This window comes from Homo sapiens, chromosome 3, assembly GCF_000001405.40.
Source record: "Homo sapiens chromosome 3, GRCh38.p14 Primary Assembly".
Taxonomy (NCBI): domain Eukaryota; kingdom Metazoa; phylum Chordata; class Mammalia; order Primates; family Hominidae; genus Homo; species Homo sapiens.
The window spans coordinates 186440053-186467114 of NC_000003.12; the positions used below are offsets into that span (position 1 = coordinate 186440053).

General features: G+C 41.7%; 2 long non-coding RNA genes across 4 annotated transcripts in view; one reads left to right on the plus strand and one right to left on the minus strand.

Moving 5' to 3' along the window:
• The first annotated feature begins 292 nt into the window (after positions 1-292).
• Positions 293-5190, plus strand: LINC02020 (long intergenic non-protein coding RNA 2020). 3 transcript variants are annotated; one of them, NR_151710.1, is made up of 4 exons: positions 293-396; positions 930-1069; positions 1793-2029; positions 4854-5190. It is a non-coding gene; the product is annotated as a long intergenic non-protein coding RNA 2020 (long non-coding RNA). The 3 variants fall into 3 exon arrangements; NR_151709.1 differs by lacking the exon at positions 1793-2029 and having other exon boundaries at positions 930-1127; NR_151708.1 differs by lacking the exon at positions 1793-2029 and having other exon boundaries at positions 293-357; positions 930-1127.
• Positions 5191-14928: 9738 nt separating this feature from the next.
• LINC02052 (long intergenic non-protein coding RNA 2052) overlaps positions 14929-27062 on the minus strand; it is a 38681-nt gene continuing 26547 nt past the window's right edge. The window contains exons 4-8 of the long non-coding RNA NR_033844.1: positions 17289-17578; positions 16112-16552; positions 15936-15993; positions 15384-15721; positions 14929-15122 (exon numbers count right to left, since the gene is read on the minus strand). This is a non-coding gene — a long non-coding RNA (long intergenic non-protein coding RNA 2052). The remainder of the gene's footprint in view (positions 15123-15383; positions 15722-15935; positions 15994-16111; positions 16553-17288; positions 17579-27062) is intronic.

Below are 27062 nucleotides of genomic sequence, written 5' to 3' on the forward strand. Positions count from 1 at the left end.
GTACACTAAAATAACAGCAAAAAGTATAGTAGATACATAAACCAGTACCATAGTCATTTATTATCAAGTATTATGTACTATACATAACTGGATGTGCTATACTTTTATTATACAACTGGCAGAGCAGTCAATTTGTTTACCCCAGCATAACCACATACATGTAAGTAATGCATTACACTATGATGTTACCATGGCTACACTATCACTAGGTAATAGGAATTTTTCAGCTCTATTAGAATCCGATGGGACCACCATTGTATATGTGGTCTGCCATTGGCTGAAGCATCATTATTTGGTGCATGACTGTAGAACTTTAAGCAATGATGAAAATGCTCTATATCCACACTATCCAATATGGTAACCACTAGCCACTTGTGACTACTGAGTGTCTGAAAGGTGACTGGTACAACTGGGGAACTGAATTTTAAATTTTCTATAATTTAAATTAAAACAGCCACATTTATTTTATGGCTATTATATTGTATCCTATATCATATCATATTTATATATCATATCATATGTTACATGGTATATCATATTACAAATGCAGCTTTAGATCATTACTTTCCCTAGAACACAAATTACATGAAAATCTTGAGTACAATGACATAGTTACTGATTTTGCCAGGATAAAGGAAAAAGTAAATGTTATTTAAAAAGCATATAATTTATGAATTATTAATATCTTCATTGATTATTCATCCAAACACCACAGGCCCATCAACAGAATTCCCAGTATATGCGATAATAATTATGTTCAGTCATCGTTGACGTTTTGCCAGCTTTCAGTCAATTAGAAACTTTGAACTTTACTCGTATTTTTCTATCTAATCATTATGAAGATATATTTGTCAAGGAAGGAGAATAGAAAGCATGTTGTTCAACTCTTTGTGATTTAGAACTGTTAAATATAGTCATATGATATGCAGGTTCTGCTTGAATTCTTGCCCTGGCTCTTGGTGAAGGATCGGCCTGCTGGATCTGAGTCATCCACCTATAAGAGGGACAACACCACACATTGGTCGCTGCTCTCAAGCCCCTGGAATACCACCCCACTTGGCTTCTCCTGGTAACAGTGGCTGCCTTTGCTTGCCTGTCTCCAACTCCTCCCAAGAGCATTGCTGACTGTGAGCTGTACCTTTGAATCTGCAGGGGCCCTTCCCATCTGTCTAATATTTGCTATCAGTGAAACAGAAAAACCCTTGGGACACTGTCAGGGAGCATTCTGGCCCGCAAAATGCCTACCAACCACCATGCCGTTCTCATTCTTGCCATTAGCAACCTTCTCTTTCTCTACATCATCAGCGTCCTATGTGCACTCATTCTAGAGGGCCAATAATTCTCACAGATTACCAGTGTAGACTTAAATTATTTTTATTATAATATCACAGTACAAGTAAAAAGTATATGGCTGTGGTTTTTGTTCAGTTATAAAGTTCAAATAAACTTTCTAGATTAAATACAAACAAACTACAACACTGATCAAAATAAAAGCAGCAACATTAATTTAATGTGGCAATGTCTTGTGGAAAGCAAATTGCCAGTGTTGAAACAGTAGAAAGTTCTTAATGTTGGTTTTTTACTGGTTGTATTTCCGCATTTTAAATTTAGTAACACTTAACACAGAGAATGCTGTATATAAAATCATATATATATATATACATACAAAATCATGGTCCACTGCAGCCTTGAACTCCTGAGCTCAAGTGATCCTCCTGCCTCAGCCTTTGGAGTAGCTGGGACTACAGGCACATGCCACCACACTCAGCTAATTTTTAAAATTTTTTTGTAGAGATGGGCTCTCACTATAGCCCTGTTCTGGAACTCCTGGGCTCAAGCCATCCTCCCACTTTGGCCTCCCCAAAATGCTGGGATTACAGGCGTGAACCACCGCATCTAGCCTAAAATTATATTGTTAAAAGACTTTGTTTCTCAGTTTGGGATAATCAGAATTCATAGTTCTGATCTCGACTACCAGTTTTAATGAGGTACTTCTTTCTAACTCCATCAGCTGTGTGGCTATCTGCAGGTAAGGACTATGTTACAACATTATCTAAATTGGGCATCTAATTATCTAAATTATCTAAATATCTAAAATGGGCATATAAAATGGGCATTTAATTCCATTAGATATCTGGACTTAGAAATGGAAAAATTTTTAATTGAATATTTTTAAATATCCCTACTGCTAATAAGTTGGGAGCCATGAAATAAGCTCCTCCTCTTCCATGAATGTGGTCTTGGCCACAGCCCAGTTTTTTATCAGTTCAGTCTCCTTGTACTTCCATGCACTTTCCTATTTGCACTGCTTCCAAATGTGATACCCACAGAGCCAGACACCATGTCACGTGGGCCTTTAGGCATGTGGCACTGTTCAAACTGGGAGGTGACCTGCAGTGTGTTTGTACACACGTATTTTAGTTTATCATAAAGATGATTACACAAAATTTATAAATTCTCAGGAAACCTCAAAGTATCCTTAGATAAGTGGTTCTCAAAGTGTGGTCTGTGGATCCCTTGGGGTTCCTGAGTCCTGCTACTGGGGTCTACGTGGTTTGCAATAAAACCAAGATGTTATTTGCCTTTTTCATCCTGTTGACATTTGCACTGAAGGTGCAAAAGCAATAGTGGGTGTTTTAGTTTTTTCAGGTTGCTATAACAAAATACCTTAGATCAAGTAATTTATAAACAACAAAAATGTATGGCTCACAGTTGCTTTGCAGTTAATCTGAAGTACAAGATGAAGGCTCTGGCAGAGTCCATGTCTGCTGAGAGCCCATTCCCCAAGGACGGAAACTTTGAGCTGTGCCCTCCCATGGCAGAAGGGGCAAAGCAGCTCTCTTCAACCTCTTTTATAAGGGTGGTGAATATGAATTCTATTCATGAAGTGGGCAGTTCTTATGGCTTACTGATTTCCTGAAGTACCCAACTCTTAATACTATCACATGGAATATTAGGTTTCAACATATGAATTTTGGGGGGACACCAATGTTCAGACCATAGCAATGGGTGAAACTGCTGGAATCTGAACACAGCACCAAACTGTTACAGAAGGCATTATGTTCTTCGTCATCATGCATTTTCTGCAAAGAAAAAAAAAAGCCATCTCAGCACTTTGGGAGGCTGAGGCGGAAGGATCACGAGGTCAGGAGTTGGAGAGCAGCCTGACCAACATGGTGAAACCCCGCCTCTATTAAAAATACAAAAATTAGCCGGGCTTAGTGGCACCTGCCTGTAATCCCAGCTACTAGGGAGGCTGAGGCAAGAGAATCGCTTGAACCTGGAAGGCGGAGGTTGCAGTGAGCCGAGATCGCCCCACTGCACTCCAGCCTGGGCGACAGGTCAAGACTCAATCTTAAAAAAAAAAAAAAAAAAAAAAAAAAAAAAGCCAATTTTATTTAATGTCCATGATGAAGCAGAAAAAAAATACACAACTTTATAATATTCTAAGCGACAAAATGGGAATTACATGCAAAGCACTTCTGCTGCATACTAAAGTAAGATATTGTCTTGAGGACAATCACTTATGAGATTGAGTTACAGAGCTAAACCAGCTGCTTTTTTCCATTGAATACCATATTTACTCTTAAGAACGATTAGCACACACGATGGTTGCTCAGACTTAGGGGTTTGGCGCACAGTTTTCCCAGAGATGCGTTAGTGAGCCCAATAGTTTAGGGAAAACAACTCGCAATATTTTTAGCAAATGATAAAATGCAGGTTTTCAAGTAAAAATTAGAAAACCTATATCCATAAGTTTAATAGTTTCTAAATATTTAAAAACTTTTCTGATAAGATGTTAGGGATATTAATGAATTTATCTTTTTTATATACTGTAATGAAATGTGTCACTATTTGGAAGATTTATGTAACGCAGTAAACCAATATTTTCCTGTTGACCAATGCATATTGTTACAAAACCATGCATAGTAAAAGATCTATTCAAAGTTCAGGAGAGACAAATGGATTTTAATGTAACAGAGTATGAGAAGTTTATTGGCATGGTTTCAGACTCTGTTGTAATTAACTTTAAAGAAACTATCATTTGTCAAATTTTGAAGAAGTGTTAAGAAATATCCACAATTACCTGAAAAGGCTTTTAAAATACTCTTATTTTTAACCTACTACATATCTACGTGAGGCCAGATTTTCCTTGTATATTTCAACTAACCAACATATTTCACAGATTGAATGCAGAGGCAGATATAAGAATCCAGGTGTCTTTGATTCAAGCCACACATTAATGAGATTTGTAAAAATATAAAACACTGTCATTCTTATGAAGTTTTTGATTTAGTAAAAATTCAGGGTTTTTTTGGTAAAATATGTTATTTATTATAAAATATAATGGGCTTTTATTATGACTAAATTCATCCATTATTTGATAACCTCAACAGATATCAAATAATATTATGTATTTAATAAATCAATTAATAAATTAAATAAATTACTAAATGTTAATTAATTTAATTAATAAATATTTTAGTTTCCCTTAGTTTTAATTGCTAATATGAGAATATCAATAGATACAGCTTAAGTGGAAGCTGAATTCCTAGACACACCAAATGTCTACAGTCAATGTCATGGCCCTAATTGGCATAAACAAAGATTGTGCAAACTAGAGTGATATCTGGGAAGGGCTGGATGAGCCTATGATTAGAAGATCCCCAACATAGCTGGAGTTACTTCAGATAAATCCTCGCCATAATATTATTATTATTTGATAGCTGCAGAAGATATCAAATTAATTTATTAAATACATAATATTATTATTTGATATCTGCTGAGGGCCCTTTCCCCAAGGACTATTATCATTTACTAAATGAATTAATAAATATTTTAATTTTTTCTAGATACCACCCACATAAACAAAAACTTTTTGGGAGTCCTCCAGAATTTTTAAGAGTTATCTAAACTATTGCCTTTAATGACCAGGAACTCCAATTTGAGAAGTTACCCTACGTTAAGCCAACAGCAGCCTGGCTCCTTCATCCTGTGCAGTATGGGACAGAGCTGGGTCCTTGTTGTCATCAGCCAGACAAGCACACATTAAAGCCCACCTTAGCCATTGGCATTACAGCTTTAAAAGCAGCTCCATCCTACCATGCTGTCACTCTACTCAATCACGTGATCTTAACGACCAGCTCTACATATCCTCTCTCCATGCCCCCACCACCATCCCCCACCAACAAATCCGGTAATCTATCTCTGTCAATAGTCCTGCAGTGAATTCCGAATAAGTTTTTCTCTTCCCTGGCCTGCCGTTTACGTAGTACCCTGGATGAATCTATACTTACTCCATAGTAAGTAGTACCTTGGATGAATCTATACTTGCATCCAATGGAAATGAGAGTGATGGTGCAGAGTTATCCGAAGTAACTCCAGCTATGTTGTGGATCTTCTAATCATGGGCTCATCTAAGCCTTCCCAGATATCACTCTAGTTTTTACAATCTTTGTTTATGACAATTAGGGCTGTAACATTGGCTGTAGACATTTGTTGCATCAAGGAACTCAGCTTCCACTGAAGTTCTGAAGTTAATCAGTTTCTGATCTTGTTCTGCAACTCTCTGCAAGAAGAAAAATCACCAGGAAATAGTGCATCCTGAAAGGAGTCAAAGTTTCCTTATCCAGCTGGAGCAGTGTGATCTCGGACCAGAGTCAATTCCTTGCCCAACAGACTTCACATTGAGCCATGAGAAGCAGCCTACTTACCCTTACCTGGACACTTCTCCAAAACCTGTGAAATGGCCTCTGTCACTGCCTCAAAGCCTCATCCTTGGTGGGCAACTCACCTGGATCCTGAGACCAAAATATAGAGCTTAATGAACTGCTCCTCTGCTGTAAACCTACTATCTTTTCACACTAAGATGTAGATATTCTCGCCTTGCTCTACCCAGTGGTGAGCAAGGATGTTAATCTAGTTCTTACTTCCCCTGAGAGCCTCTTGCAACTTCACTGTTAATAGAAATCACTCTTTTATGCTTGCAAAGCATATCCTTATCCTTTGGTATAAGGAATTTATACAAAGATGCACAGGACTGGTGGGGTAACAAGAAAAGCCATTTCCCTAACTGCCTGCTTAATCTGGATCCAAGTGCTGCTAAGACAAAGAAGTACAACAAATTTAATAGGAAACCAGAACAAAACCCTAAAACGAACGCTCAAGGTTGTTTGGGTTACAACCTCAGCTTGAGAGATCTGCTCTGGCATTTATACTTCCTAAAATAGAGAATTTGAGTGAATGAGGTGGCCACCATCCAAATGAAGTGCCTCAACTGGGAAGAGATTCATGCCAACCTGCTAGGGCATGGTGTTTAGCCTTTCTTATATTTAGTCAATTCATGGGCTCATCATTTGGGGTGAGGTCATCAGGATGGTGCCACTCAATTCACTTGGCAAGAGCCACAGCAACTGATGTAGGAAGAAGCCTGTTGGAGTTTCTTTTACTAAAGGGCACCTGGGGGCCAAGGATACATGGAGTCTTCATGAATTAATGAATGAAGCCCCTCAACTGGCTCAGTATAATTATTCTCAGGGGACATCTTTATATTCTCTTACAGTTAAAGTCCTGGTGGGGCTAGCTTTTCAAAATAATGACTCCAATTTTGAGGCAGTTCAGAGAATTTAGTGGATTGATTTTTCAATATCTCTGTCTGTTACTGATTAATTTGTTGAGAGTGAATGTAGGCATCAGCTCTAATTTCCTTGAACAGCTTTTATAAGTGACTTACATGTATAAAGGGCATCCTCCAAAACCATTTTAATTTTTAAAGATGCCAAACAATTTGATAATTAAGTTCTATAAATGTGGACTAGTATTTCCCAAACTGTGCCCTCTAGGAAATGCTTCTAGGAGATGTTAATAGGTACACAACAAAAATAAGTGAATGAAAGAAAAATTTTCAATCCATTGTCAGAAAACTTTGGAAAGAATTTGTTTACTATAGGGGACTCTTCTTGGAGATTTACTCTCCAATTAGTATATTTAAAGACCTGAGAAGTTCCATTGTAAAGAAATTTGCTTTTAATTAACCAAGCATTTCCCAAATTTACCTTAACACAGACAATTTTTAAATTTTTCCTTATGCTTCCCCAGATCCTAATTTTAGGACATATTGATCTATGTAAATTTTAAGTCAAATGTATAATTTTGAAACATGTGTAGAACTTAAATGGAACAGGATAGGGAATAAGACTTACTTTAAATCAAGTCCTCAGGAAAAACAATTCGAGATAAAAAACTTGTGTGGGGAAGTTTACTGGGTGGTGTTCTCAGGTTCAATTCCTGCAAGGAAGTAAAGACATAGCACTGGGCCGAGGGAGAATTTGAACTGTGTTCTAGCCACAACAAAGTTCTCATTCTGTCATAGGGGATCACCGAAGCCGGAATGGGCTTTTACATTTGTCCTGCCTTGAGGCAGCGGGGCTGGGCATTCATAACCCTCCTTACCAGGTTGCTTCCAGGAAGAGGTCATGATCCTGGGGTGGATCAAGAACTGCTATCTTGGGTTGAGGGTAATTCTTGAAGAAGGATTCAGCCAGAGTCCCCATGTCTTAGAGAGGCCATCAACAATTCGGAGATTTAGTGCCTCATCCCTAAAGAGGGCACTGGAGGGGCTCCATGGCAGCCTCTACTTTGTGCCACTTGGATCCATTTGCTTTGTAGATTAAGTTCTGAGAACATTTCCTCCAGGATCTCGGTTGGTCATTTCTCTTGGAGAAACTTACAAGAAAAAGGAAATGGAGGAACTACAGCCTCACCACATGCAGCTCATATAGAGGTTGCAAATGACATTCATCAGCTCCTCCTCAAGTACCATTCCAGATCCCCTTGTCCACGGGTGGTAACTTTGTTGGTCCATGTGGCTGGCCTGATGTAGTGACCAGACTTTGATCTCTGAGGGGCCTGAGCTTCATAGCCACGACTGCTGCACTTCCATTCATTACCAAAATTGCTCCCATTGGGTAACGGCAGCTCTATCTCCTCCTTATAATAGAGCCGGGAGGCTGGCTCCTCTCCTTGCTTACTGTTGGCACAAGGAGTCAAACGTGACCACTGACAGCCATAGCTAACATTTAATGGGAGCCCTCCTGGGTTTCCTGGTGGAAGCATTTTTTTTTGGTCTGAAAACCAGAACCTCTAAACCCATAAAGTTGGGAGTTATAGAAATGGGAAACACAAATTTCACAAGTGTGTCAGTAGTACTGATGGGAAGTGGGGCAACTCCTAATCGTCTCCCTTGGTTTCTGGATTTACCTATTGAGAACACAGAACCATGAAAAGGCAGTTGATTTAGAGCAGTAGCTTTCAAACTTTTGGTCTCAGGACCCCTTTACACTGTTAAAATTATTTTAAACAGAAGCCCAAAGCTCATTGAGGGTGATAACTACCAATACTTACTGAATTAGAAATTAAAACTGAGGAAACTTTAAAATACTTCAACTCATTTGAAGATAGGGTGGAACACACTGCATGTTAACAGATATAACACCTTCATATAATTATTATGAAGTTAGTTTTGACCTCATGGAACCCTGGAATCTCTCCTAAAGTGTCAGATTGTCCCAGAATAGGAAGGAGCATAGTGAAGGACACTTGGCAGGTGAATTTTACTTGCCTTGGTTTGTAATACCTGATTCTTAAAAGAAGCTATGAAATGTGTTGACGTTGTAGTGAAGTCTGGTCTACTTTAGTGGAAGTGCTTCCTTGATTTACTCATTAATTCCTTTGCCAACAAAATGAAATGTTATTCCTCACTTTCTGTGTAATCTGCCTAATAGCAAAGCTTCTTTATGTTAGCTTTGTTACATCCTTGATTATTCAAGAAAAAAGTATCAAGTTATAAAAGAACTTACATATTCTTTACAATCATGTTACTATCTACATTTAAAAAAATGCTATTTTGATTAAATAGATAACTAAATATCATTTTCAGGCACCCACAATCATATGTTAATCAAATGTCCAAATCTCCTCTGACAACTTTTTGATTTTTGCCTTCTCAAAATCAAATCCAAATATAGAAACATATAAGTAAAAAAAGAATATTTCAAGATATCTTTTACATCAAAATCCATTTTGAGATTCCCAGAGGGTCCCTGGAAAATTGCAAAGATTTGTTTTTTCACTTTATAAGAAGAGAGGTACTAGAGATAATTAGCGTTTTTGATATGTTACTATTATAAAGTTTCATGGGAAAAGTTGTCAAATCAGAAGAGACATTCAGTTAAATTTGGGTATTTAAAATATTTTATTAATGTAATGATTTCAGAAATTATATGATTTTGGAAAGTCCCTGGAGATTTGTCAGTGACCTCGCATTCTATGTTTTAACTTCTGAGGGAACGTTGACCTAAACTCTGTGGATTTTTTCCATATTCACCAGAATCTTTGTGTTGCTTTGCCTGATGATACTAGACAACAACTGTATGTTATTAGTCATAATTTCCATTATTATTTAAAATATGAACTTCATCACAGACTTAATTCTTTAATTTGACTTTAATATATTCTATGCCACTGATTTTCTTTTTTTCTTTTTTTTTGAGACAGTCTCACTCTGTCGCCCAGGCTGGAGTGCAGTGGGGTGATCTTGGCTCACTGCAAGCTCCGCCTCCCAGGTTCAAGCGATTCTCCTAACTCAGCCTCCCTAGTAGCTGGGATTACAGCCTGGTGCCACCACGGCCGGCTAATTTTTGTATTTTTAATAGAGACAGGGTTTCACCATGTTGGCCAGGCTGGTCTCAAACTCCTGACCTCAAGTGATCTGCCCACCTCAGCCTCCCAAAGTGCTGGGATTACAAGCGTGAGCCACTGCACCCGGCCTGATTTTCAATTGGGGATGCACCTCAAACTTACTTACGGAGTTATATAAAAATACAGATGTCTAGGACCGATGCCAGATTTACTGAATCTCTTTTTATTCTTGATATTTTCTTAGTATATGTTTGCTGTAATCTTAGTATATTATTATATTATGTCTCGGTTATTATATCTCAAGGCTTTTCCTCTCTAAAATTATGTTCTCCTATTTTACAAATCAGATGTAACATTCACTGACTCCTCTGAAAATAGGCCTAATCATTCTTCTTAGAGACATATTGTCTGAAAGTTTATCTCAGAATGGCTTTATCATCTTGTTAGGTGTGCCACAGAAGCACTCAAATGTCTCTGTGGGTTACATTATTCTTATTATTAACTCTCATTAGACCTTTACGTTGGAAAATTATTTTAATAAATTAACCACAGACATTTTCCATTTTCTCTATCATTTAAGATACATTTGTTTTTTGTTGTTGTTGTTTTTGTTTCTGTTTGTTGTTTTTACTATTTACTCTGATGCTTGCCTGAAGATTCTGCTATCAGCTACAGGTCTGGGTTTGTGTCTCCGACAAAGAACCACCTCAAAGCCCCACAGAAAAGGACTGTACCGTATACTTCAAACTATTGACACCTCAAAGAACAGAGCTTGGGTTCAGGCTTCTGATGCATTCTGAGACACTCTCAGACCATACCAGTGGGCTGGGTCAGGATTTACAGAACTATTTTCATTTCAAGAGCATACGGGCTCATGAGATTGCTAACTCAAGATCCGGTGGAACAGAAATACTTATATCGGACTGAATAAACTGATGAGGAAAATCTTATTGCATTTATTGGTAGAGAATACTATTGATGTTTAAATGTTCTCTTTTCCATATTTAAAAGCAAACAAGCACTTTCTTTTTCTTCTTAAACTCTCTGTAATCCGTAATGATTTAGTAGACTCTGCTCTTTCTTTTTGTTTTTGTTTTGCTTTGTTTTTTGAGACGTAGTCTCACTTTGTTGCCCATCTGGGGTGCAGTGGTGGGCTCTTGGCTCACTGCAACCTCTGCCTCCCGGGTTCAAGCAATTCTGCCTCAGCCTCCCGAGCAGCTGGGACTACAGGCACCTGCCACCATGCTCGGCTAATTTTTGTATTTTTAGTAGAGACGGGGTTTCACTCTGTTGGTCAGGCTGGTCTCGAACTCCTGACCTCAAGCAATCCACCCGCCTCGGCCTCCCAAAGTGCTGGGATTACAAGCGTGAGCCACAGCACCTGACCTGACTCTGCTCTTTTATACTGAAATGTAACATTTTAAAATGATATCTGATTCTCCCCGATTCCTCTGAAATCAGAAATTCTTAAGTGTCCTCACTTTTCACATCAATATGCTTGTTTGTATATGTTCAGTAAAAATCTGTCTTTTAAAAAAATCAGAATATAATTAGGAAAATCAAATATACAAGCAAGGCCTTTCCTGCAATGTCACATTTGTGAATAATCTCATTTAATGGAACTTAATGGGGCCAATACTTATAAGGTCTTCCCCCAAAAAATGGCCTGGTGCCTCATTCACAGAGTCCCAGCCTTACAGGAGTAAAGGCTTGACTGAGGCTGAAAGCTTCACGGCAGGACGGCTCACTTCTGCCTGTTGGCCAGAGACCACAGGGCCTCTTCATGGGCAGCCTGGGTGTCCTCATGACGTGGCAGCTGGAATCGCCTACATCCACTCATCAAGGAAGAGAAGGCAAGGAGGAAGTTGCCATCCTTTTTATGAGCTAGTCTAAAAGTCACACTGTCACTTCTGCCTTATTCTATTTGTTAGAAATGAATCACTAAGGCCGGGCACTTGGTAGCTCATGCCTATAATCCTAGCACTTTGGAAGGCCGAGGCAGGTGGATCACCTGAGGTCAGGAGTTTGAGACCAGCCTGGCCAACATGGGGAAACCCCGTCTCTACTAAAAGTGCAAAAATTAGCCGGGCATGGTGGTGGGTGCCTGTAATCCCAGCTACTCGGGAGGCTGAGGCAGGAGAATCGCTTAAACCCAGGAGGCGGAGGTTGCAGTGAGCCGAGATCACACCACTGCACTCCAGTCTGGGCAAAAGAGAAAGATTCTGTCTCAAAAACAAACGAACAAACAAAAGTGAGTCACTAAGTCCAGTGCACACTCAAATGGGCATAGGAGAGAATTAAGCTCTACGTCTTGAAGGAAGGCATATCAAAGAATTTGTGAAGACATTTTTAAACCCACCACAACCACCTTCCAAAGCTCTAGCCCTTTCCATCATTCTAGGCTCCATCCTCACCCTTGGGTAATTTTATGATTTACTGGATGAAGCAGCCTTATAAACAAATAGCAATAAAATGAAGCAGATTATAATTGTGTACTATCGTAGAGGTACAAAAAGCGCTGGAAAGGACGTTAAATCCAACTGGAATAATCCAGGGGAACTTCATGAAGGAAGTGGCATTTGACATGAAAAAATGAGAGGATTTCGAGGGTCTAAGATTAGAAGCAAGAAGGAGCAACTGGCCAGGTGATAGGGCAAGGTGGATGTTGGTACAGAGGCAGGAGAAAGCGTATGTCGGGGCTGGGGAGCTGAGGACAATATAGTGGCACTGAGAACACTGAAAATAAAACTGTGGAAGTTTAAAGAGGAGAACAGTGTGGGAAGCCTCATATGTCAGGACCAGGACATGAGAAATCCAGGAAAGGTTTCTGAATAGGAGACTGGCATGATTAGACCCATGCTTTAGAAAGAACAGCCTGGTGATCCTGTGAAGACTGAGTCAGAGGGGGACAGGCATTTAATGTATTACATTATCTTAATAAACTAACCACAGGCATTTGGCAGTAGCGAGGCCCAGTGGGAAGCCGTCCTAGTTGGTTCAGCAAGTGCCCTTTGACTCCATGGGACAGCTCAGAGGCGCGCCATTGTGGCTGCACGTTGGAGTCACCTGGGTGTTTCCAAAACACACCGACACTCAGTCTCCCCACCAGGTTTCTGATTTCACCGTGCAGGGTGGGTTTAGGCACCCCGGCTGATTCTCATTTGCAGCCCAGTTTGAAAAGAGCATGACCGAGAAAGGGAAGTCAGGCTGATGTCTTCTCAGCTCCAGGCAAATTTGAGGACTACTACTCACTCACTCTTGCCTCATTTTCTGAATTTCTCTTCTACCTTCTTCCTTGGGTCCTTGTCCTTCACTTCTGGGTATTTTTATGATTTTTAGGTTTTCCATGGTAGCACCGCTATTTTGCCTGACTATTCTAACCCCGAAAGTGTTTCAAGATCTCATTAAAATGGAAGGAATCTGATCAGACTAATTCGCAGTAAGATATAAATGATCGATGACCCAAAACCCCACCTAAGGGTATTTGATTTTAAATTTTTTTTCTAACCTTAAAAAAAGAATAATTTCACACTTATGGAAAAGTTACAAAAGAGATTTTCTAGATACTCTGTTTTAAAACATATCAGTGTTATTCTGTCTCTTCACACATACACACTCATATGTATACACGCATATTTATTTTTCGGAACCACTCAGAACTAAGTTGCAAGCATATCCCCAAATACTTCTGTGTGCATCTCTGCTATGGTTTGAATGTGCCTCCCGCCCCCCAATTCATGTGTTGAAATTTAGTTGTCATTGTGATGGTATTAAGAGGTTAGGAAATCCAATTAAAATTCCTATGTTGATTGGACGTGGAGTCTAGGTAATTAGGATTAGATAAAGTCATCAGGGCAGGGCCCCCGTGATGGGACTGGTAGCTTTATAAAGAGAGGAAGACACACTTGTGCTGACACTTGCATGCACTTGCCTCCATGCCATGTGATGCCCTGCACACTTCCGGACTCTGCAGACAGTCACCACCAGCAAGAAGGCCCTCACCACATGTGGCCCCTACACCTTGGAATTCCCAACCTCCAGGACTATGAGAAATACATTTCTTTTCTTTGTGAATTACCCAGTCTCTGGCATTCAGTGATAGCAACTGAAAATGGACTGAGACAAGCTACTAAGAACAAGAGCACTCTCTTGCATAGCCTCAATACGCTTGGCCAAAATCAGTACCTTAATGTTTACACAACACACTTCTCTAATCTACAGCCTCCACTCAACTTTTGCTGATTATCCCAATATTTTTTATAGAAATACAACAACAAGAAGACTGGGCTCGGTGGTTCACACCTGTAATCCCAGCACTTTGGGAGGCCGAGGCAGGTGGATCACCTGAGGTCAGGAGTTTGAGACCAGCCTAGCCAACATGGTAAAACCCCTGTCTCTACTAGAAATACAAAAATTAGCCGGGCGTGGTGGTGCATGCCTGTAGTCCCAGCTACTTGGGAAGCTGAGGCAGGAGAATCACTTGAACCTGGGAGGTGGAGGTGGCAGTGAGCCAAGTTCGCACCACTGCACTCCAGCCTGGGTGACAGAGCAAGACTCCGTCTCTCTCAAAAGAAAATAAAGAAAGAAAGAAATAACAACAACAATGCCATCTTTCCTTTACCCCCTTTCCTTTCTGGTTTGGGATGCAATACACAACCACACACTGCATTCATTTGTTACGTCTCCTGTCTTGGTCCTGAGACTGGGCACTTCACATGTGTTTGGCAGGAATGCCACGGAAGCAGTGCCGTGTCCTCGGTCCATCCTATCAGGTGGCACACAGTGCCCACTTGACCCAAGCAGTGCTGTTAGCTTCTGTTACCAGGTGAAGATGGTTTCTGCCAGGTTTCTCATAAAGTTAGTAAGAATTTTGTCAGTAATTATTAAGAATTGTATAAGGATACACTGTGAGGCCATATAAATATTCTGACCCTCATTAAACTTTCACTCATTTGTTCCAGCATCCATTGATGATTTTTAGCTGAATCCATGATTACTACAATGGTGGCCAAATGGTGATTTTCTAACTTTATCATTTTCTTCTACACCTATTAGATGGATTTCTACTATAAAAGAGAGCTTTCCCTTCTCCTCAGTTTTACTTATTTATATGAACATAGACTCATGACTTGCTATTCTATTCAATAGGGTGCAATAAATTGGTAGCATTATTTATTTTGATGCCCAAATTGATGCAGGTTTGACCAAAAACAATCCCTTCAAGCTGGCTCAGAATTTTGACTTTGAAAAGAGGCCAATTTTTTATTCAAATGTGTCTCCACATAGTAGGAGTAAGGTCTTGGGAGTAAACAGAGTGGAAATTTTCGGCAGCACGCCTGGTGATGATGAGCAAAGTGGCCTTTACCGTGTCAGCGCTCCCTCAACTGTTCCAGCCTCTCGAAGCTTCTTCCTCCTTCCCTGTCCTAAAATGGAATTAAGTGCTGGATCTTGGAGGCACCTTAGAGATGATCAGGTCCCTGGTTCCCAGACACTGATTGGCAAGGGCTGTGTGACTGCAACCCCTGGAGAGGTAGTTTCTCAGAATAGGTGCCCCCACCGTCACGCCAAACATTTCGGGTTCAAAAGCCCGACCTGGTGGGATGAGCCCTTTATCTGTGTATGAAGCCACCCAGATGACTCCTGTGCTTAGCCAAAACCCACCCTACTCCCATAAATACACGCACCCCGCTTTCTTTTGCAGGTGAGAAACCAGTGACTCAGAGAGGGGAATCCGCATGCTCTAGGTCATGCTGTGAATGTCAGAACTGGGAAGTTTCTTGCTCCGTTAACACTGGCTTTTTGCCTGCATTGTGCTATCTCATTACAGTTCTTTGAAAGCTCTGAAGTTTTTGGCTCCTAACAATTGTTCTCACAGCAGTAAGAATGAGGAATTTACCTGTAGGATGGACGATGCTTAAGTCAGGTGTTTGTAAACCAGGGGCTGTCTCTGCTCATTTACTTGATACTTACATGCAGTATGTTGGTTTACTTTACGCTGATCCCCAGAGTTTCATCATTTAAACTGAAAAGAATAATAATACTTATTTATATGGCCGCTATGAGCATTAATTTTAGAGATACTGTAAGCCTGGCACTTTCGCTAACTAAATATGCATTTACCACTCCCCCACCCCAAAGACACACACACACACACACACACACACACACACACACATACACACTCCCCTAATTTCACTTAAGGAAGCACTTTCTGTTACCATTTCTCTCTCTCTTACCTACTGACCCCTCACTGACAATAACAGCAGTATGCCCTTTTGCCATTGAGAAAGACAGCTGTAAGATAAACAGATGCCATTGCATTATACATACATGTCCCCCTGAGACCATTCTGCACTGTAGCCACCACCTCGTCCCCTGGGCTATAGAAATCTGACTATTAAACAAAACTAACCTTTAAACATGTAAACTGTATCCACCCGATAACAATTCAGCCATACTTCCTTACAAATCTAGACCGGACCCAATATGTTAAAGGCTTTCTGGCACTACAGTGAAGGAAGGGAACATCTTTCAAACATGTTTATAAATACTAATAACAGTACAGGGTGCTCAAGATCTCAAGCAATCCACTGCTGACTTTTTCATTAGGTGGTCATTTGTTGAACTTCAGCTCCCTTCCAATACCTTCCATTCATTCTCTTCATCAAGGACATCTGCAGTGCACGGCAGCATCAGGGGGCAGGCCTCCTGAGCCCCCAGCAGGATTCCATTTCTCCACCTTCCACTGCCATCCGACTTGCTGATGCCCAGGCCCCCAGAGGAGGAAGGGCTATCCTGTTGTTATGAGAACAAATGAAGCTAAGAAGTGGTTTGAGGTGGGAACAGCCAGGCCCTACAGACAGAGAGAGTGGTTAATAAATCTGTATTGTACTGAATTAAATAGAGCATCTTAAGCTACCTACTGGGGATGGAACAATGCAGAGACTCCTGTGTTTTTTAGTAGCATTAGCAAAAGAGCTTAGCATCGCTGCTAATTAAAATCACATCCACGTTTGGCTTCGGAATGCATAAGGCATCACAATAACTCAGCACTGAAGGGGCTTATAGTGGTTTTAAAATAAATCCACACATTCTTTGCAGTGTGCTCCCTTCAATGCAGCCTCATTCCTCTCCTCTTGAATGTAGGCTATTCTGAGTGACTCACTTATCAATAGAATGTAGTGAAAACGGTGGAATATGACTTTCAAAGATATGCTGTTGAAGACACTGCGCTTCTGTCTTGCTCTCTCTTTCGGATCACGTGCTCTTCAGGGAGCCAGCTGCCATGTCATGCAGACACTCAAGCAGCCCTATGGAGAAGCCACATGGAGAGGGGCTGAGGCCTGTTTCCCACAGCCATGTGAGTGGGCCATTCCGGAAGCAGATCATCCAGCCCTCGCCAAGCTGACAGACGACTGCATCCCCAGCCAACATCTAGACTGGAGCCTCACGAGAGACCAACCCGGAGACCCCACCCAGCTAAGCCACTCCAGAATCCCTGACCCCAAACATTGTGACATGATAAAAATGTGTTGTTTAAGCTTTTAAGTTGTGTGGTATTCTGTTATGTAGCAATAGATAGTTAATACCGGGCTCTTAATCTTTTCCATAGCAACCGTGACAAAAGGTAGTGCAGGCTCAGCTTGCACCTCCCATTGACAGAGAGCTTGCTTCTTCACAGGGCAGCCCCTTCTGTTGCTTGGCCAGTCTGTTACCAGTCCTGCTCACACCGAGCTGGTTTTGGCCTCTCTGTAATTTCCATCCCTGGTTCAAGATGTGCCTTGTGAAGCAAAGGTGAAGCTTCTCCTCTTTTATGTGACTGCCCTTCAGACAGCTGCAATTCGTGATTATGCCGGCCTCCTGTGTGCTCTTGTGCTGGCTAAAGAGAGAAGAAGGGGAGGCAGCACCTTTTGAGGGGCCCGGGAGAAGAGACATAGTCTGTCTATAGGAAAACAAAACAAAACAAAACAAAACAACAAAACAAAAAACTGCTTTATGCTCTCTTTTGTACTCTCACAACATTTTTGGTCACCAAAATGTGTGGGGTTTTCCCCCACATCAAGCAATTCTCTAATTCTCTGTAGATTTAATTGTAATTGAATTACAATTTAATTCAATTCTGACAGTAGCTAGAGTTAGTGCAGACCCCACAGGTTAAGATCCCAGTCCCACAAGACCAATTCTCACTTCAGACATCAATCGCGAGTAGTAGGTCCCCAGGTTACCCGCAACTTCTCTCTGACCTGGCTACACGGAAGGTTCTCGCAGCTGCCTCATTGGGTTTAATCGTTTGCTAGAATGGCTCACAGAACTCAGGGAAACACTCTACTTACATGTTTGGAAGATGTTCTTGCCTGTTTCACTGTAGTGCCACAAAGCCTTTACAATTTTGGATGGATTCTAGATGTGTGAAGCAGTGTGGCTGAATTGTTGTTGGGTGGAAATCCCACTTATTACAAAGTATACAACTCGGGAACAGCCAAATGGAAGAGATGCAAAGAGCAAGGTATGGGGAAGGGGTCAGCTTCCATGCCTTCTCTGGGTGTGGACCCTCCCAGAACCTCCACGTGCTCAACAACCTGGAAGCTCTCAGAAACCAGTCCAGTCCTTTTGGGGTTTTATGGAGGCTTATTGTTTACATCTTTAGCTATTAGTTATTAACTCAAACTTCTGCCCCCTTTCCCCTCCCTGGAGGTTGGTTGCTGAGGCGGTGGGCGGGGGAGGGTGTAGTGGGACTGAAAGTTCCAACTCTCTAACCACATGGTGAGTTCCCCTGGTAACCAGTCCTCACCCCAAGGCTGTCCAGGAGCCTCCAGCCCTTGGTCATCTCACTCGCATGCAGAATGACACTTATCACTTGTCACAAGGGGTTTATGAGCTATGTGCCAGAAAACGGGGAGGGGTGGGAAGAGGAAAAATATATTTTTTTTATTAAATCCCAATGTCATAGCCTGGAATTAGGCCACAGTCCTGCATGCACCAATCCAAGAGGGGCTGGATTCTGGGAGATTTTGAGAAATGGATGGCACCAGTCCTGAGCCACTAGATAACAATCGTAGCAGTAACAGTAATAATTAGTGCTGACATAGCACTTAAACAGGCTGCCAGATCCTCTTCCATGTGTTTTGTATGTGCTAAGTCATTTAATCCCCACAAAAGCTCAGAATTATTGCCCCTATTCACAGAGGAGGAAACTATAGTGCAAATAGGTTATAACTTGCCCAAGGAAACATAGCCAGTAAGCAGCAGAGCAGGATTTAAAGGGAGGCAGCCCAGCTTCAGAATACTCCTCACTGCAACTCAGTAGTGCCTTCCCTTCTGGATCTAGCTCATCTTAGAGCTGCATTGAAAGCTGTTATAGAAACAAAAACTGCTACCATTTACTGAGCATCTGCTATGTCTCAGTCCCTGGGCTGAGTGCTTTGTACACACTAGAAAAATTAAGGCTCACGGTCAATGGAACCAATCATTTAACATTTATTTATCAAGCACAGACACTGTGCTGATCCCAGTGGGGACACAGTGGTGACTCAGGCTTGGGTCCTGACCTTAAAAATTTTTCAGTCCTGAAGCGATAAATTAGGTACAAAAATAGCTAAGTTTGAGGCATAGAGCAAGAGTTGCCCTTTTGTAGAGGAATAGAGAGCAATGTTATGGTCTAAATGATCATGTTCTCTCAAAATTCATGTTAAAATCCTAGCTCCCAAGGTGATGGGATTAGGAGGTTAGATCTTTTGGGGAGGTAATTAGGTCATGAGACTGGAGAGCTCCTGAATGGGATTAGTGCCCTTAGAAAGAGGCCCAAGGGAGCCCATTTGCCCAGTTCACCATGTGAGAATGCAGCAAAAAAAGGTGCCATCTATGAACGAGAAAGTGGGTCTCACCAGACTCTAAATTTGCTGGTGCCTTGATCTTTGATGTTCCAGCCTCCAGAACTGTGAAAAATAAATGTGAAACTGTGAAAAATCTATGGTATTTCATGATAGTGGCCTAAAAAGACAAAGACAAGCATGACACACGGAGAGAGCTGGGGCTATAGGGGTGTTACCTGAGTAGGCTTTATCTGAACCGGTTCTTGAAGGAGGTTATGGTTGGGGAAGGTAGAGGTGGGAGAAGGGCACTCTAGGAAAGGAAACAGGACAGGAGTTAAGATGAGAAAAATGAGGCTTCACTCTAACCAAAGACAGAATGATGAGCTAGAAAGATGGAAACACCATACTGGGGTGGTTTTTGTTTAATCCTGTGTATTACATGTGATTTTATAGGAACCCATGGTCTTGAGACTGCTGTGGGTTTGTGATTTCAGCAAATCTATCCCAGGCTGGAAAAGCAGAGGCCCTGTGAGGACTTCATCTGGAGCAAATGAAAACTGTCAGACCCTCAGAGCCCCCAGGACACTCATTTATCATGGTGAGAAATATTGATATTAATAAGCCCTTCTGCTTGATACAATTTCTTGTCATCACCCTCTTCTCTCACCCCCGGCTGCCACCACCACCAGTTTCCATTTGGAGAATCAAACTGGCAGCAGAGAGTCACACTTCTTGCAGATCTGTTGGACACACACACATAAATACGGCAATCATTTTATGTCTAATGAATGGGAAGTGAGGGGTAGAGGTCCTGACTGTACAGTGGGAGATTTGCAAGCTGTTTTGCTGGGATTTCCTCTCACCTGTGGGAAAGAGGGAAAGACATGACCCTACCAGCTTCCTGCATGTGATGTGCCTGCATGCACTGGAGGCACAGTCATGACTCTGATCCCCAGGTCGGGGGAAGCCCTTTCCAAAGGGTGGGGCATGCTTTTGGGAACTTGTGCTTTCTGAGATCTCAAGGAAGAGGCAAATTCTGATTTCATGAGGGCTGAAAGTTGTACAATTTGGGGACCTTTTTAAAGAAAAAGAATATCAAATTATGAATACAAAGTGAGGCTTACAAAATTTTTTTTACAGTGGAGGTCTCGCTCTGTCACCCAGAGTGGACTGCAATGGTATGATCATAGCTTACTGCAACCTTGAGTTCCTGGACCCAAGCAATCCTCCCGCCTCAGCCTCCCAAGTAGCTGGGACTAACAGGTGCACGTCACCACACCTAGCTCAAAGTGAGATTTGAAAGTCACCATTTATTTAGAATGATTAAAGAAATCACAACAAATTTTAAATCTTAAAAATGCTGATAAGTACCATGAATATCACAAAATTCAGAAAAATGTTTTATTAACTGCCTGACATATGACTAAAATATATTTTTCTGCTTTTCTGGGTCACACACTCTCTAGATCACTTCTTCAAATGGCAACAGTTTTGTAATAGTTCTGCAGAGAGAAGACAATTCAGTCTGACGTCTAGCATGTTTGGTTCAAATTATTAATATTTTCTCATTGATTTTTTCAAAAGTTTCTTTTAGCTTCACAACTCATTATTAAACATGCCATTTAAATGTTTAGGATTGTTGTAAATTTGGGGAAAACTTAACAGAATATCTTTCCTGTATGACTGCAAGCCTTCTGCAGCTATCTCCTTAAACACTCTTTGACTTGAGAATGACTCATTGATTCATTGACCAGTTAGTCATCCCCGTTCTCATTGTGGAGATACATGAGGAGTTGTGTGTTATCCTCAGAAGAGCCAGTTTCATATTGAGACAGTAGGAAATGTAAATCTTTCTCCAGTGTGTTCATATGATTCACTTCTCTTCATTAACTGGACTATTAAATGATCTGGGAGTCTATTCACTATTATTCTATTGGAAAGTTATCTCTTCCTTTTACTGAATTACTGCTTTTGATGCGATTAAACAGTATTTTATTGTAATTCTATCCTTGATGTCTGAATAATTTCTATGTATCTCATTTCTTTTCTTTTTTGCTCCATTAACTTTTTCTCTGAAATTTCTCTGAGTTTCTGAATAAATACACTTAAAGATGACAAAAGATTATACCCATCGTAAATGCCAAAATTGGGAGTCTGTACTCTTATTTCTTTTCTTGAAATGTTCCAAAAATGTCATTCCAAATTGAATTCAAATGGCTTGTTGAGCTTTATAAACTTGTAAGTAAACACCTTGCTACTTATTTGTCTTTGAATTTCTCTTCTGAATCTTCAAAAATACATTTTTAAAATTTATTTTTATTTTATTTTATTTTTTATTTTTTGAGATGGAGTCTCGCTCTGCCACCCAGGCTGGAGTGCAGTGGTGTGGCTTCAGCTCACTCCAACCTCTGCCTCCTGGGTTCAAGTGATTCTCCTGCTTCAGCCTTTCGAGTAGCTGGGACTACAGGTACGTGCCACCACACCTGGCTAATCACACCGGCTAATTTTTGTATTTTTAGTACAGACGGGGTTTCACTATGTTGGCCAGGCTGGTCTTGAACTCCTGACCTCATGATCGACCCACCTTGGCCTCCCAAAGTGCTGGGATTACAGGCGTGAGCCACCGCGCCCGGCCTACGTTTTCTCAAAGATTGTTGTATCTATGTGTCAGGGCTTGAACAGATTTATAATGGTAGACCAAATGTTACCTGCAAATATTACCTGGGTGCCATAAGACACATTCATGTTAAAATGAAATTTGGGTCCTACACGTTTTGAACAGAAGTATTCCTGGAAGCCATTCCTATACCAGACAGCCAGCGGAGCACGTTGGCTCACACCTATAATCCCAGCACTTTGGGAGGCCAAAGTGGGCAGATCACCTGAGTTCAGGAGTTCGAGATCAGCCTGGCCAACATAGTAAAACCCCATCTCTACTAAAAATACAAAACTTAGCTGGGCGCAGTGGCTTACGCCTGTAATCCCAGCTAGTAGGGAGGCTGAGACAGGAGAATCACTTCAACCCAGGAGTCAGAGGTTGCAGTGAGCTGAGATTGTGCCACTGCACTCCAGCCTGGGCAAGAGAATGAGACTCCATCTCAGAATAACAATAACAACAACAACAAACCAAAACCTATACCAGACAGCCAATAACAATTCCTTTATACGTGAAAGTGACAGTGATTTCCAAACACATAATTATATCCCAATGGATGTAAATTAATATGTGCCAATTCAACCTCCCCTTAACCAATATACCCAAAATGTCCATGGACACTACAACACTACCTGGCATCAGCAAGACTATGATGGAGAAGTTGCAATGGAAAGAAACAGTGGTCTTAACCAATTGCAATAAGTGGTGTTTACTTTTAGAGAAGTGCTCAAAAAATGATGGGAGCACCATGAAAAAGCTCCCAGTGGCCAAATCTGGGATCGTTTGAGCAATGATGGTAATGAATTGTATTCATTCACTTCTGTTTAGTGATATAAATAAAATAATTGATTAAATAAAGAAATGGGGGAGAAGGAACAGTTCTTCCTTATAGAAGATTTCAATTAATACACATGGAAAGGTGGAAATGGAAAAATCATCATCTGGCAAATACCATGGTAGTAATTTTTATTGGCAACAATCACCAATGAATACGAAAATCAGTGGGTAAAGTAGGATGATAAAGGGCATATTTGTACCAGTATCAATGCACCTCTTCATCTGATACTTATTAATTACTGGGGGAAACCTCAAACTTCACAGAAGAGAAACCTGAAGATACTGTCTCTACCAAGTGGTCAGAGTTAACATCTCTAGTAATGACACATGTCAACATCATGTGCCACCTGATGTAATGCCTGAAAAAGATGTATCACAGTCATATAAGTAAAATATTTAGGGATCCAGAGGTTTTGGACATGCAGCAACATCCCCCAGAGATAAACGACAAGTTACTGCATCTCACCTCTTACCATTAAGAAAGAAGCCCCATGCCTGGGAGGCCTCTTCAAGTTCTAGAGGCAGTACTTAGTGATATTGCTCTGACCAATTTACCAGGTAACATGGAAGGCTGTCAGCTCTGAGTCACAGCAGGTGTAAGATGAAATGCCATACTGCTTGGGCCAAATGATTGAGGAGACCCTATTGATATTAGTTATCTGTGGTGGAAGAATTCACCACGTGGAGCTTATGGCAAGCTCCAACAAGAGAATCATAATGTAGACCCCAGAGTCCCGGAGCAAGGCCATGCCATCTGCAGAGGAGACCTTAACACTGTTTGAAAAGAGCTCCTGGCACGCCACTTCCCTAATAGAGACAGAGCATCTGACAAGTGACATGTGGCCAAAGCTACCCAGCACGAGCTAAGTAGCATCTAACCTACCAAGCCATAAAGTTGGCAAGCTGGGAACAGTACATCTGGGATTAGGTGTGAGCAGGGCCAGAGGGTGAATGTAAGCTATGCTAATAGATGGCCCAGACCCCAGGGCATCCATCACTGTTGTACCAATGTCTCTCCCTTAGACAAAACTTGTGGCCATGTGGAGTATGCCTTACAGCCAAGCTGATGGAGGGGGAAAAAAAAGGACTGAGACCGGTTCAAGGAAGTATAAGCTTGGTTTGGGGGTGCTAGCCAAAAATGAACTGCTAGACACCATTCCTCTAGTCTATCTTGTAAGTGGTGAAGAAACCAACCAGAATTCCAGAAGAGCTGTTCCCAGGTGGATTGGACTTATACAAAGCCAGTAGATTTGATCAGTGCAAGATATGGACTGTAGAGGATGTGCTGGTGTATTACTGTAGTCCCATTCAGGGTGGTCCCAAAAAACAATGGTAAAGAGGAATCCTCTCATTAGACTGAGCACAAGGTCATTCACTTTCTGTGGGAAGAGAAGTGGCCTGAAGTAGGAATATATAACTCAGGGCTATGAAAAATGACTAGGCTGGTTGGCCAGGGGCCTGAAAAGGGAAAGAATGTAAGACTGGGGACTGGGGACAAAGCATGTAGATGGACCTATGGGAGCGGGCATAGGGAGTCAAGACCTTTGCAATGCATGTTAGTGCCCACTAGGGAGCACCTACCATGGAAGAAGCACTTCACTCTGTGAAGATAGGGTCCCTTCCTTTAGGATGTGGTTAACACCCTAAATCACAGACTTTTATCTGAGTTGGTGTCCCCAGTAGGTAGAATACATGGGCCCAGGAACCAAGGAGTAAGATTGGGAAAGGTCCTGCATACCAGCATTCCTAGTGTCACACTTGGCAATTAATGCTTGTCATTGCTGCAACATCAGGCTCTGTGGGTCCAGAGGTCCTGGTTCCCAGAGGGAAACGCTTGCACCAGGGGCCATGGTAAGTGTCCCATTAGAATTTAAGTCTTGGCTGCTGCCTAGGCACTTTGGGCTCCTCGTGCCAAAAGATGAGAAGGCAAGGCCCCCATGCTAGCTGGGGTGATTGACCCTGACTGTCAGGGGAGTAGGGCTGCTGTTCCACAGTGAAGGCAGGGTGGAATAAGGCTGACACTCTGGTGATCTGTTAGGGGCTTTTCTTGGTGCTCTCCTGCCTACTTTTGGTGGTAAATTGGTGAGTGTAGCTGCCATGGCTTGAGAACAGCAAAATGACCAGAAACTTGGGGATGATGGTTTGGGTCATCCTACCAGGTTAGGCACCTTGACTAGCAAAGGCAACAGTAAGAAGAGTATAAAATGAGTGACCTTGAGGCCAACTGCAGTCACTCAGGGAATATATCATCTCTCTAGTCTTTTTCTCGTAAGTGGTGAAGAAACCAACCAGAATTCCAGAAGAGCTGTTCCCAGGTGGATTGGACTTATACAAAGCCAGTAGATTTGATCAGTGCAAGATACAGACTGTAGAGGATGTGCTGGTGTATCACCCAGATCTCTCCTTTTAGGGCCAAAGCCCCCGTTTCCTTGGCTGCCATGAATGTTGGCTGCTGACTGTTCACATCTGAGCCTTCTAGGAACTACCCCTCACTGAAGGGAGCTTCTGGCCCAAAAGGCTGAGGACCCTTGCCTCAATTTGGGACAATTCAGAAGGCCCATCTCAGCTCCAGAGCACCCTGGTAGAATTGGCTGAGGCCTCTGTTGCTTCTGCATTGCAGCTCAACTCTTCTCTCTGCTCATTCCGGCTCCCTCACTCCCTTACAGGTGTTGTTCCCAAGAGCAGGCAAACAAATTTCCCACACACAAACACCTGTCGCAGAATCTGTTTCATGGGGAGCTTGACCCCAGGAGTCCAGAATTTTCTTCATGCTCTTGACATGAGTTAGGAGTGTTTGCCTCTACATGCAATGGTTCAACTACTGTAGACAAGGGAGGATGATATAAAGCAGAGCTCCTACTAACCCTGCATGAGCATATAGGGGAGCAAGACATCAACCTTAGCGGTTTAAGTCACCTGAGATCTGATGGTTGTTTGTTACCACAGTACAGTCTAACTCTCCTGACTGATACAGAATCAACACAATGATTCTGCCTTTAAAAATATATAGATTCTGGTCTCCATTCAGAAGTGGCCAATCTTAATGCATAAAGCAAATGTAGGTCTGCACTTATGGCTGACAAACTAGAGTCAAGCTAGAAAGAGTCAAATAGAGTCAAAGAGGCTAAGTGTCATCATTGGGGCCTTTTTAAAAAATTTAATTTTAATTTTATTTTGAGACAGTCTCGCTGTGTTGCCCAGGCTGGAGTGCAGTGGCATGATCTCGGCTCACTGCAGCCTTCGCTTCCTGGGTTCAAGCGATTCAACTGCCTCAGCCTCCCGAGTAGCTGGGATTACAGTCATGTGTCACCATGCCCAGATAAAATTGGGGCTTTTCTTGAGCCTGACTGAGAGTTGCAGGATGGAACTCAAAGTTGCTTGGGTGCTTGTTGGACAAGTCTAGAACATGGGGATGAATTGCCAGACAGCAGGTCCTGGTTAGAATTGGTTGGGTAATTTACATATGTTTTCAGGTCACTGCCGAGACCTTTTTGCAGGCAATCCAGATGGGTCTGGACTCAAGTGAGAAGTGAGTCATCAATGCCTGTATCAATGAGAAAAATAAAGATTAGTAATTCAGTGTTGGGTTCCATGTGTTTTTTTAGTGGGAGGCATGAATCCAAGACAAAGTCCTTGGCACCACACAGTACATTCTTTGACAACAGCTATTGTTAAGGACCTTTCCGAGGAGTTTTAAGCAGTGATTGTTGCTGATGAAAGTTGACCAGGCAGGGAGCCTTACATTATGGTCCTATCTGTGCGGGTGGGTGGATGAAATGTCTTGAGCCTGTGAATGATTTCTGACACCCTTGTTAGTGTCCTGCAATATAACACAATGTTATCTGGCTTAGGAATGTGCTACTGGCCTTAGCTGCTGAGGAAGAAACCAGAGTCTCATCTGCTAATATTTCATAAGAGTTAAGTTTTGGGAATTTGTTTGTTGTCTAATCAGAGCCATGGGCAGTACATCTGTCCTCTTCAATCCATTTTCTGCACAAACCTTGGCCAGCTTATTATTTTTAATCCCATTTTGATATTTTATTACCTCTGTTGACTGC